Raw genomic sequence first — 12675 nt, 5'->3', positions numbered from 1 at the left:
GTGCACATGCGTGTTTTGGGGGAAGCATCCATGGCTGTTATCAGATTCTCAAAGGGAGCAGGCCCTGGGTGGGAAATCCTGGCCTGTCCCACAGGAGAGACGGCTGTGGGCACCAGGAGCACCTCTTCCACCTCCCCCTTCCACTGCCCTTGCCTGGCCTGTGTTCTTGCAGCCGCCTCCCCACTGGTGGGCAAAGTCAGCTCACCTCCCTGCTCTGCGCAGATTGTGCGGTGGCTGCCGCCTCCACTCAGAGGGAGGCCAGAGACCTGTCGGCCAGTTACCTCTCTGGCCTCCTCCCCTCTACTCTCATCCACTGGCACACTAGCTCCGTTGGTGCTGGCGGTCCCCTCTGCCTGAACGCTCCAGCCCCAGGTACCCACAGCTCCTCCTACTTCCAGCCTGGGCTCTGATCTGGGTCTTTGGGACCACCACAACTCAGGGCAGCCCCCCGTCCCTTTGCTTGCCCTTCTTTCTTCCATAGCACATTTCTCTTTCCAGCATACTAGGTAATTGACTCATTGATTAAATTTCTTGTGTATTTTGCCCGTCTCCTCACTGTCTCCTGCTGCTGTCTCCTCGGCATCTGGCTCAGCCTAGCACATGGTAGGTGCCCAGTCGGTACTGTTGCAGGGACGGAAACTGCAGACAACCCCTCCCTGGCCTCTGTGTGTGCATTTTGGGGGTTGCCCCATCTGTGTCTACCGCTGGCGGTAGGGCATGAGGGCTGGTGAGAGCCCAGGGAGAGAAGTGACAGCTTTCCAGGCAAAGGAACATTAGCACTGAAGTGCCCCATGAGGGCCAGGGGTGCTGCAGGATGTGGATGGGTGTGGCCCAGAATGTGCACTGCTTTTTGTACCATAAACCTCACGCTTAGCTGGTCAAGCCCTCTAGGCCTGTGTGGCCTTGAACAAGTCCCTTCCTCTCTACAAGCCTTACTTTCTACACTTGCCGAGTAGGAGCAATGGATTAGACAGGGATCCATCCATTACTTGGGGGAGTCGGGGGGTCCAAGAAAACTTGGGTAGCTGCTCTATCTCTAGCCTCCACTGTGACGGCAGGCCCCTCTGCCTTCCCCAGGCAGCCCCCAGGTGAAGAAACTGAGGCACAGCAAGAAGAAATGAATCCCACTCAATGGCTGAGTGCCAGAGTCAGGACTCAGATCCAGGTCTGGGACTCCAGAGCCAGTGCTCCAGCCACCAGGAGCCATGTCCCTCCCTGCTCCCTGCCCAGAGGGTCCTGTCTCCCACAGTGGCTAACCCCACAGAGAGAGAGGAACCCCGTCTCTACTAAAAGTACAAAAATTAGGTGGGCGTGGTGGCGGGCGCCTGTAGTCCCAGCTACTTGGGAGGCTGAGGCAGGCGAATCGCTTGAACCTGGGAGGCGGAGGTAGCAGTGAGCCCAGATCGCGCCATTACACTCCAGTCTGCTCAACAGAGTGAGACTTTGTCTCAAAAAAAAACCCAAAAAAGACGGAATGGCATCCAGACTGAGGTGGGGGAACACAGGGGCAGCGGGGATGGTGCAGAAAGGAGTGCCTGGTGCACTTAAGGGAGGGGCTAGGCATAGCCAGAAAGTGTTGGGGGTGGCTGTGAAGAAGGGGGTTCAAGCCAAGGATGGCTCTAAGCTGCAGGAATGCAACAGATGCTGAGAGTCAGACTGAGTGACCTGGTGAAGCTGAGCAGGTGAACCCACTGTAGCCTGTGGCCAGCCTAGGAGGGTGGCCTAGCAGAGTGAGGTTTGGAGGCTGGAGACCTCAGGGGAACACACTGAGCCACAACAGTGTCACCAGCTGGCATCTCCTTGTTCGGGGCCCTTGAGGGAAGCAGACATGTCCACACCTGTGTGCACAGGCCTGGCACATGGAGACCCAGGCCCTCCGTGCACACGGAGCAAGTCCCCATCAGCCTGCGTGTGCACCCACTGGAAGGCTCCCCACCCTAGTGCCACATACATGCATGCACTCTCACACAGACACGCCCCACATGCATACACAGGGTGCATCCCCGAACGCACAAGCCCTGCCAGGCACTCCCCACAAACTCACAGGACGACATTCCACAGGGTCACCGAAGGGAAGGCAGGGCTGGGAACCACGAGGCCCAGACAGGGGTGGTGTCAGGCCACGCAGAGCCCCTCTCCTGACTCCAGCACACCCTCCTCCTCTCCTCCACACCCAGCACCTGCCTTGGTGAAGGGGCCTTGAAACTCAGAGGTGGGGGCGTGGGCCCAGCCACACTGACTCTTGGCCTGTCCATCCTACAGCAACTTCAGGTCCCCAGGCCTGTCAGGGAGTTTCAGCCTCTGTCCTCACGGCCCCTGGGCCGAGTCATCACTCGGCAGCCACAAAGCCACAGGAAGGTGGGCAGGGGCTGGGCCTGGGAGGCGACCTTGGGAACATCCAGTCTATTTGTGATTGTCGGAACCCGAAAACCACAGACCCCAGGTGGCCAGCTAGGGGCCAGCGGTTACTCTGGTCCTTTTGATGGCCTGAAACTTAAATAAACCAGGGTGCTGCTGGAAGCCCTGTTCAGGGGTCCAGGCTGTCCAGCTGGACCTGGGCCAGCGAGTAGAACTGGAAGAAGAGAGAAATTCACTCAGGAAATCTGGGATCGGCCACAGGGTCTCCTGCTGGCGGTAGGAGGCTTAGCCACTGACCTTTAGCTCAAGCATGCTCTGAGGCTGGGGAACTGGCCAAATATGGTTCCACTGGGCCTCACACCTGTGACCTGGGTGAGGAGAGGGGCTTCAAGGTCATCTCCTGTGGCCCCAGTCTCATGCCACTGCTTACACACGTCCTGTGATGTGGCGCTCACTCTCTCACTCTATTATGTGACCACTTTGGCTGTTAGATACCCTAGAACCCGCTGCCTGGAACTGGGCAGAGCAAGCCAGCTTCTTCATTGGCACGGCGGTCCTCCAGACATTTGGCAAGGGTCCCTCCACCACTTCTCCTCCCAGGTTTTTTTTTTTTTTTTTTTTTTTTTGAGACGGAGTCTCACTCTGTCACCTAGGCCGGAGTGTGGTGGCTCGAACTTGGCTCACTGCAACCTCTGCCTCTCGGATTCAAGTGATTCTCCTTCCTCAGCCTCCCAAGTAGCTGGGACTACAGGCATGTGCCTCCACACCCAGCTAATTTTTTTTGTATTTTTAGTAGAGACAGGGTTTCACCATATTGGTCAGGCTGGTCTTGAACTCCTGACCTCGTTATCTGCCTGCCTTGGCCTCCCAAAGTGCTGGGATTACAGGTGTGAGCCACCGCGCCCGGCCTCCTCCCAGGTTCTTTAGCGCCTCCTCCTATGACATGGTTTCCAGACCTTTCCATCCCAGTTACTCTCCATTTGCCCTCCCCCGACATGTCCTGACTTGCATAGATGCACACAAAGGGTCTCTCACCTGCCTTGGCTGCCCTGCGCTCCGTTAACACGGCCTGCATCTGCGGCGAGAGCTCTGGCCACCACACACACTTCCTGCCAGTTGCTCTGCGAAGTGCAATGAACTGCAACTAGAAAGCTCAGGGGCTCAAACAAATTCAGGTTTAAAACAACCTCAGCCACACTATGGTATAGAAAAGGGAAGGAATAGGAGGCGGAGCACAGGCACTAGCGGAGCAGGTGCAGTTCGGGCTCCGGAAAGAGCACGGGGATGATAACCACAGAAGCAAACCCACATCACTGACCACGGGCTGGCATCATCCTGCATTGTCACGCCAGGCCGTGATGTTGGGCATGGCAGCTAACAAGACAGACCTGGGCTACCTGGGCCCAACTCCGAGATTCACTGACTCACTGTGTGACCTCAGGCAACTTGTTTGCCCTCTCTGTGCCTTCATTTCCTCATCTGTAAAGTGAGGAATGTCATAACAGACCCCGCCTGACAGGGCTGTTGGGAGGCTTGCATGAGTTGCTAGATGCAAAGTGCTTAGAACGGGGCCTGGCACAGAGCAATCGTGTCTGCCCTTCCTTTCTCCCCATTTTTCAGATAAGGAAACAGGCATGAAGCAGTGAAGTTAACTTTCCCAAGATCAGGCAGCTAATGAGTGGCAGCACCTGTGCTGGGAGGCCACTGAAAGGTTCACGAGGCCTCTAGGGGTTGGAGGAGAGGAAAGATCCACCCTGGTTTCCCCCCTGCTACCCTCAGTGAACATCACTGTCTGGGGACATTTGCTGCACTCCAGAGTCTGTGAGGCCGAGGCGGGGCCAGGGAGCGGCTGCTGTGTGGCGCCCTCCGCCTTTCGGAAACCCCAGGCAGGGCCAAGTGTTATCACCTGCAGGAGGAGCAGGCCCAGCTCATTCCCGGGAAAACACCCTCAGGGACGGGGACAGAGCCGGGGCCTCTGGAGGAAATGGCCTTTGGTTACGCTGGGGCCTGTCCAGAGCCCGCTTATCCTCCTCTACTCACCCCCAGCTGGGCCTCGAGCCTCCTGGGCCTCTTCTGCAAGCATGGGGATCACCATACACTCTGCTGCCCTGCCCCACTGGAGGCTGCCAGCAGTTAAGGACGGCTCTGAGGCTTGGGGTCCTTGGGTGGGAGATGTCTGCCAAGATGGCTGCAGGGTCCCCTCCCTCCCCGGCCCTGGCAGCATGTCCACCATTTTCCCCTCCCTGCAACCTGGGCAGGCCTGTGACTTGCTTTGCCCACTAGGATGAGGAAATGTCCAGGCTAGGCCTCAAGTGGCCTTGCAATGTCCTTTTCCTCCAGCTTGGAGGTCAGCAGCTATGGAGGGAAATCCAGGGGGAGAGCGGCCCTGGACCACACAGGGAAGAGAGGGGCCGCCTCCCCCAGCTGTTCCAGCCACCCCTGCCAGGCGTTGGGCCTGGGAGGGAGGCCAGGGGGCCGCCCCAGCCAACACCGCAGAGACAGTGACATGGCAGGCGGACCAGGCACAAGGCCTGCTCCCACCGGAGGTCTGGGTGAGTTACATCGCCTTTCCTAGATTTGGATCCCCCCAAAGAGGGACAGTAAAAGCACCAGCATGGTCTGGAGTGATGGTGCAGGATGAGCGAGCCTTGTGAGTGGTGCTTGTGACACTGGCCCAGGGGCTGTGTCGGAGAAACACCAGCCGTTTTCACTACTATTAGAGGCTTGGAGACGGCTGAATCCAGGCAGACCCTCCCCGGCTGGACAAAGTCTCCAGGGAACGGAGCAGCAGGATTCTAACAAGGGCTGCTGCTGTGGGGACACTTACTGTGGCCATGTCTCAGCATGAACCACATCACTTTTGAGCCTTCCACCGTCTCATGAGGGGTATGACGTAGCCCCCACTGACTGCAGCTGGCAGGAGAGAGACTGTTTCTAAATCAGGTCGGGATGAAAGTCACTCCTTCCTCACAGGGCCAACCCTCCAGCTCCTAGGAGGATTCAGGGCCCTGGTGATTCCTGCAGTGTTCTTGCCACCAAGCTCATCCTACAGGTGGACAAGCTGATGCTCAGAACTGGAAAGTGACTCGTCCAAGATCACACTGTGCTGCCATGCAATGTGATGGCCATGTGGAGCTGGTGGCCTGGTCCAGGCTGGCCAGGCTAGGACCAGACTCACAGCTCACAGCAGTCCTGACAAGGCTAGAGGGTCTGGAGCCATGGCCCTGAAGGCACAGAGAAGGCGCCCCGTGGATCCCTTCTCAGATTCCTCCTGTTATCCCCCTGGCGCGTGTTGCTGCTGGCTGTCAGAGGACGCGCTTAGGTTTCCTTGTTTGTTGTCTGTCTCTCCACTGGGCAGGGCCTTTCTTTGGTTCCCAATCAGAGCTGAGCGCACACTAAGTGCTCGATGCATATTCGCTGGAGGAATGATTGGATGTCGCTGGTCTGAGATGGATCAGATGGGGCCAGACTGGCAGTGGGGAGAGCTGGCAGAGGCGCTGGGAAACAGGGGAGGTAATGGTGGCTGGGGTGGAGATGGGAGGCTGGAAAGAGGAGATGAGACCTGCAGGACCAGGTGTTGTCTGGGATGTGGCATGGGGAGGGAGTTGTGGGGCTGACTCCCAGAGGTCTGATGGGGAAGGCTGCCCCTAGACTGCCCGCCCCGACAGCTGGGCTCAGAGGCTGGGTTCCAGGCGTGACATCACTAGGCAGAGGCCCTCAGCACCCTTCAGGCCCGGACTCGTGCCTCACCCTGAGATACGCCCATCCCCACCCCATCTCCTATTCCTCAAACTCTTGATCCCACTTCTGGGCCCAGGATGCCTGGGCCTCTTCCTGGAAGACTTCCCTGATTCTCCTGCTGCTTCTGCACCCTGCCCCCCAGTGATTTCTCCTTCTGCTAGCTCTTCATTCATTCATTCACTCACTTCATTACTCACTCAGGAAACAATTTCAAGACTGGCCCTATGTCCCCACGGAGACACAGAGATGACCCTGCTCCAAGGGAGACAGATTCAGAAGCCAAACCATGGCATGACTCAAATCCTAATGCTCTTAGAAAGAAAAAAATTCTCATGGATTCTGGGGTTGTCGTCAGTCATTTTTATCACAGTGTTTCTTAAATATGCGCAGACACCGAGCTAGGTGTAAAGCTCTTGTGTTTATGTTTGCCTCCAACATTAAAAACAAAGCAATGCTGGGAACGGTGGCTCATGCCTGTGATCCCAGCACTTTGGGAGGCCAAGGCGGGAGGATCACTTGAGGCCAGGAGTTCCAGATCAGCCTGGCTAACAAGGCGAAACCTTGTCTCTACTAAAAAATACAAAAATTAGCCTGCCTTGGTGGCGGGCGCCTGTAATCCCAGGTACTCAGGAGGCTGGGGCATGAGAATCGCTTGAACCTAGGAGACAAAGGTTGCAGTGAGCCTGAATCGTGCCACTGCACTCCAGCCAGGGCAACAGAGTGAGACTCTGTTTCAAAAAACAAAACCAAACCAAAGCAAATTTGCAAAATGAATATAAAAAAACATAGAGCCAATAAAAAATCAAATTAACAACAGGAAGAAATCTTGCTGGCTCTCACCACAGACAGGGCAGTCAGCAATCGAGGTGCCCAATGAGGGGCTGATTCTCTGGGGCCGGGTGGCTTTGACCAGTGTGGAGGCCAAGCAAGGCCTTGCTCCTCCCTGCAGGATCCTCTGTTCACGCCTACCCAGCCTGGGAGGCCTGGCTGAGGCAGTGCCTGGACGACACCTGGCCAAAGTCTCCCCGCATCTTTTCTCATTAGCTCCAGTGACTATGAAGTCTCAATGCCCTGGTCAGCACAAATCCACTGGGTAGCCAAACTTTAAAAAAGAAAAATGTGGTAAAATCTACGTAACACAAAATTTACCACTTTAACCAGTTTTTAGCACACAGTGTGGTGGCATTAGGTACATTCACCTTGTATGGTACCATCACCACCGTCCATCTCCAGAATGCTTTTTTTTTGAGACAGAGTCTCGCTCTGTCGCCCAGGGTGGAGTGCAGTGGCATGATCTCGGCTCGCTGCAACCTCTGCCTCCCGGGTTCAAACGATTCTTGTGCCTCAGCCACCTGAGTAGCTCAGATTACAGGTGTAAGCCACCATGCCCGACTAATTTTTGTATTTTTAGTAGAGACAGGGTTTTGCCATGTTGGCCAGACTGGTCTGGAACTCCTGACCTCAGGTGATCCACTCACCTTGGCTTTCCAAAGCACTGGGATTACAGGCGTGAGCCACCAAGCCAGCCTGGCCCAGCAGGATTTTCATCTTGCAAAACTGAAACTCTGCACCCATTAAATATTAACTCCCCATTCCCCTGCCCCCCAGCATCTGTCAATCCCATTCTACTTTCTGTCTCTGAATTTGACTACCATAAGTGCCTCGTCTGAGTGAGACCGTATAGTATTTGTCCTTTTGTGACTGCCTCATTTTACTTAGCATAATGTGCTTAAGATTCATCTACATTGTAGCATGTGTCAGAATTTCTTTTTTTTTTAAGGCTGAATAATATTTCATTGTATGGATAGAACGCATTTTGTTTATCCATGGACATCTCATCCATTGATGAGTTGCCTCCACCTTTTGGCTGATGTATACAATATTGCTACCAACATTGCCACACGAGCATCTGAGACTTTGCTTTCAGTTCTTCTGGGTGTATACACAGAAGTGGAATTACTGAGTCGTATGGTAATTCAATGTTTAATTCAGAACTAATGTTTAATCTTTTTTTTTTTTTTTTTTTTTTTTGAGACAGGGTCTCGCTCTGTTCCGCAGGCTGGAGTGCAGTGGCATGATCTTGGCTCACTGAAATCTCCACCTCCTGGGCTCAAGTGATCCTCCCACCTCAGCCTCCAGAGTAGCTAGGACCATAGGCACGTGCCACCACACATGGCTAATTTTTTTGTGTTTTGGGTAGAGACGGTTTTTTGGGGGATTTTTTAGACAGAGTCTCGCTCTGTCGCCCAGGCTGGAGTGCAGTGGCACAATTTCAGCTCACTGAAACCTCCACCTGCCGGGTTCAAGTGATTCTTCTGCCTCAGCCCCCCAAGTAGCCGGGATTTCAGGCGCACACCCATACCCGGCTAATTTTTGTATTTTTGTTTTTTGTTTTTTTCAGTAGAGATGGGGTTTCACCATGTTGGCCAGGCTGGTTTCGAACTCCTGACCTCAGGTGATCCGCCCGCCTTGGCCTCCCAAAGTGCTGGGATTACAGGCGTGAGCCACTGTGCCCAGCCTCGCCCCCACTTTTTTTTTTTTTTTTTTTTGAGATGGAGTCTCGCTCTGTTGCCCAGGCTGGAGTGCAGTGGCATGATTTCGGCTCACTGCAACCTCCGCCTCCTGGGTTTAGGTGATTCTCCTGTCTCAGCCTCTCGAGTAGCTGGGCCTACAGGCACCCACCACCACGCCCGGCTAATTTTTGTATTTTTAGTAGAAACGGGGTTTCACTATGTTGCCTAGGCTGGTCTTGAACTCCTGACCTCGTGATCTGCCCACTTCGGCCTCCCAAAGTGCTGGGATTACAGGCGTGAGCCATGCGCCTGGCCTGAGATGGGGTTTTGCCATCTGAGCCAAGCTGGTCTCAAACTCCTGGATTCAAGCAATCTACCCGCCTCAGCCTCCCAAAATGCTGGGATTATAGTTGTGAGGCACTGAGCCCAGCTTAAACTTTTAAGTTGATGGGTACATGTGCAGGTTTGTTACATAGGTCAGTGTGTGTCATCGGGGTTTGTTGTGAAGATTAATTCATCACTCAGCCTAGTACCCATTAGTTATTTTTCCTGATCCTCTCCTTCCTCCCACCCTCCACCTTCTGAAAGGTCCCAGTGTGTTGTTCCCCTCTGTGTGTTTGTGTGTCCTCATCATTTAGCTTCCATTTATGAGAACATGCAGTATTTGGTTTTCTATTCCTGTGTTAGTTTGCTAAGGAGAACGGCCTCCAGCTGCATCCATGTCCCTGCAAATGACGTGATCTCATTCTTTTTTATGGTTGCTCAAGACTAATTTTTAAGGTGGTTATTCAGATGATCCTAAAGAGGATTATAGCCTATTTGGGTTTTTTTGTTTGTTTGTTTTTTGAGATGGAATCTTGCTCTTGTTGCTCAGGCTGGAGTGCAATGGCATGACCTCGGCTCACAGCAACCTCTGCCTCCCGGGTTCAAGCGAATTCTCCTGCCTCAGCCTCCCAGGTAGCTGGGATTACAGACACCCACCATCACACCCAGCTAATTTTTTTTTTTTGAGTAATTTTTTTGTATTTTAAGTAGAGATGGGGTTTCACCCTGTTGGCCAGGCTGGTCTCAAATTCCCGACGTCAGGTGATCCACCAACCTCAGCCTCCCAGTGCTGGGATTACAGGTGTGAGCCACCACACCCAGCTGCCTATTTGTTTTTAATTCATAGACTTAAAATGCACTATAATTTAAAACTCTCATCCTCTTCAGAGTATACAGAGCCTCCAGTCTGAAACAGTCTAGAACTGGACCATCCATTGGTGTGACCTCGAGCCATAGCCATGAAGCCCAGATCATGCTGGCCTGCACAGAATTATTCTGTACGGGTAAAATACAGCTGGATTTTGAGAAAAGGTTTTACCCCCGTCGCTCAGGCTGGAGTGCAGTGGCATGATCATGGCCCACTGCAGCCTCGACTTCCCAGGCTCAGATGATCCTCCCACCTCAGCCTCCTGAGTAGCTGGGACCACAGATGTGTGCCACCACCTCTGGCTAATTTTTGTGTATTTTTCAGTAGAGACGAAGTTTCACCATGTTGCTCAGGCTGGTCTCAAACTCCTGGACTCAAGCGATCCACCTGCCCCTTTTTACTTTTTCAAATGTGATTATTAGAACATCTAAAATGGCATATGGGCCAGGAGCAGTGGCTCATGCCTGTAATCCCAGCACTTTGGGAGGCTGAGGTGGGTGGATCGCCTGAGGTCAGGAGTTGGAGACCAACCTGGCCACGATAGTGAAACCCCGTCTCTACTAAAAATACAAAAAATTAGCTGGGCGTGGTGGCGGGCACCTGTAATCCCAGCTACTAGGGAGACTGAGGCAGGAGAATCGCTTGAACCTGGGAGGCGGAGGTTGCAGTGAGCCGAGATCATGCCATTGCACTCCAGCCTGGGCAACAAGAGCGAAATTCCATCTCTAAGTAAATAAATAAATAAAATGGCACATGGGCCAGGAGCAGTGGCTCATGCCTGTAATCCCAGCACTTTGGGAGGCAGGCGGAACATGGCAACACCCCGACTGTACTGAAAAATACAAAAAATTAGCCGGGTGTGGTGCTGCATGCCTGTGGTCCCAGCTATTTGGGAGGCTGCAGTGGGAGGATCGTTTTAGTCTAGGAGGTGGAGGCTGCAGTGAGTAGTGATCACACCACTGCACTCCAGCCTGGGTGACAGAGTGAGACTCTGTCTTAAAAATAAAATAAAATAAGGTGGAATGAAATGAAATAATACAACGGCACGTGAGGCTCACACTCTCTCTCTGGACTCTTCATCCTAGAGGACCAATTCAGGTGCTTTGTGAGTCCAGAGGAGCCACCTAGAGTTCTTCCTTCCAAGCAGAGGAAGCCTTGGGCTGGTTCCTCAATTTCACTGGGGTGAAATTCACATAGCATACAATTAACCGCTTGAAAACTGCAGGTCAGTGGCACTCAATGCATTCACCAACACCTCACCCCAGAAAAACACGCTGGCTCTGTTACCAGTCTCTGCAGTTTCCTCCTTCCCCCAGCCCTGCTTTCTGTCTCTATGGATTTGCCTATCACCGGCATCTGTAGGAGGAATCATACATGTGACCTCTTGTGACCAGCTTCTCTCATTAGCACAGTGATTTTGAGGCTCTTCCTTGTGGTGGCCTGTCAGTGTCATTCCTTTTCACGGCTGAATACTATTCCGTGGCGTGGAGGCAGCACAGTCTGCTTCTCCTCTTCGGATGGATATCTAGGTTGCTTGTGACATTCGGCTATGATGAGTAATGCTGCCGTGAACACTTCCGTACTGTTTCTGTATGTTTGTGTTTCCTGGGAGTGGAATTGCTGGCTCATATGGTAATGGCTGGTTCCTTCTATCTTTTAACATTCACTTTGCTTATCAAAAGTTCTAGATACAGCTGGGCATGGTGGCTCATGCTTGTAATCCCAGCACTTTGGGAAGCTGAGGTGGGTTGGGAGGCCAAGGCGGGTGGATCAATTGAGGTCAGGAGTTCAAGACCAGTCTGGCCAACATGGTGAAACCTCGTCTCTAGTAAAATACAAAAATTAGCTGGGTGTGGTGGTGGCTGTAATCCCAGCTACTCGGGAGGCTGAGGCAGGAGAATCACTTGAATCTGGGAGGCGGAGGTTGCAGTGAGCCAAGATTGAATCACTACGCTCTAGCCTGGGCAACAGAGCGAGACCCAATCTCAAAAACAAAAACAAAAAAAAAGAAAGTAAGTTCTAGATACACAGACTCTTGATTTCACTGAAGGGAGGTGGGGGGTACTTGTTAGGGACCCCCCATGTCAGTATTTTCAGGACTTTGTTGTGCGTCAGATTCTCCAGCGAGGAGCCTCAGTGTCCTGCTGGAGGGTGAAGACTGGGCTGTGTGCTGGGAGCTGGGCAGGGCAAATGGGGTCCCAGTGCCCAGAAGCACCCGACTGCTCTGCTTCCAGTGCTGTGGCAGTGCCGCTATCTCTGGGTGGACTCTGGTGAGCGGAGGACGGGACTGCCTGGCCATTCTGGGTGGGAGACCGGGGGACCTGACTGCGCCTCATTTTGCCCCCACCTGGGACTGCTGGCTCACGCTGAGCTTTCGGTGGTTCTTCAGGGTAAACCACACTGGTATTCAGCTGCCATCACACACCTGGGATGTAACTTCTGTGTCCCTTAAGTCAGTTGCCACTCTACATCGACTTTTCAGCTTCAAAACCTGTGTGGATGTTGTCTCCTGATTGCTACAACCTTGTGGGTTTATACCTGGAAGGAAGGAAGGGAGGGAGGGAGGAGGGGAGAGGGAGGGAAGGAGGGAGGGAAAGAAGGAGGAAAGAAGGGAGGGAGGGAGGGAGAAGGGAGGGAAGGAAGGAGGAAGGGAGGGAGGGAGAAGGGAAGGAAGGAGGGAGTGGGAAGGGAGGGAGGAAAGGAGGAAGGGATGGAGGGAAGGAGGAAGGAAGGGAGGGAAGGGGGAAGGGAGGAAGGGAGGGAGTGAGGAGGGAGGGAAGGGGGAAGGAGGAATGGAGGGAACGAAGAAGGAAGGGAGGGAGGGATGGATGGCGGGAGCAGAGGGAGGGAGAAATCCCTCCCTGTTGTTTT

General features: G+C 53.6%; 6 annotated features.

Moving 5' to 3' along the window:
• Positions 731–860: an enhancer, noted in NCBI's record as "active region_19050". NCBI's record gives its function as "activates an Ori minimal core promoter by ATAC-STARR-seq in GM12878 lymphoblastoid cells {active_cell/tissue: GM12878}" and the evidence as "EXISTENCE:reporter gene assay evidence [ECO:0000049][PMID:35858748]".
• Positions 1623–2531: an enhancer, noted in NCBI's record as "H3K27ac-H3K4me1 hESC enhancer chr22:39844165-39845073 (GRCh37/hg19 assembly coordinates)". NCBI's record gives its function as "activates a minimal SCP1, AML or CMV promoter by ChIP-STARR-seq in naive H9 embryonic stem cells {active_cell/tissue: H9 hESC(naive)}" and the evidence as "EXISTENCE:reporter gene assay evidence [ECO:0000049][PMID:30033119]".
• Positions 1947–1996: an enhancer, noted in NCBI's record as "active region_19049". NCBI's record gives its function as "activates an Ori minimal core promoter by ATAC-STARR-seq in GM12878 lymphoblastoid cells {active_cell/tissue: GM12878}" and the evidence as "EXISTENCE:reporter gene assay evidence [ECO:0000049][PMID:35858748]".
• Positions 2841–3032: a silencer, noted in NCBI's record as "fragment chr22:39843664-39843855 (GRCh37/hg19 assembly coordinates)". NCBI's record gives its function as "represses an EF-1alpha promoter that drives an FKBP-Casp9 reporter gene in an ReSE screen in K562 erythroleukemia cells {active_cell/tissue: K562}" and the evidence as "EXISTENCE:reporter gene assay evidence [ECO:0000049][PMID:32094911]".
• Positions 3257–3446: an enhancer, noted in NCBI's record as "active region_19048". NCBI's record gives its function as "activates an Ori minimal core promoter by ATAC-STARR-seq in GM12878 lymphoblastoid cells {active_cell/tissue: GM12878}" and the evidence as "EXISTENCE:reporter gene assay evidence [ECO:0000049][PMID:35858748]".
• Positions 3677–3726: an enhancer, noted in NCBI's record as "active region_19047". NCBI's record gives its function as "activates an Ori minimal core promoter by ATAC-STARR-seq in GM12878 lymphoblastoid cells {active_cell/tissue: GM12878}" and the evidence as "EXISTENCE:reporter gene assay evidence [ECO:0000049][PMID:35858748]".

This window comes from Homo sapiens, chromosome 22, assembly GCF_000001405.40.
Source record: "Homo sapiens chromosome 22, GRCh38.p14 Primary Assembly".
NCBI lineage: Eukaryota > Metazoa > Chordata > Mammalia > Primates > Hominidae > Homo > Homo sapiens.
The sequence above is the reverse complement of the archived record's forward strand: the minus strand, read 5'-3'. Positions and strand labels throughout refer to the sequence as shown.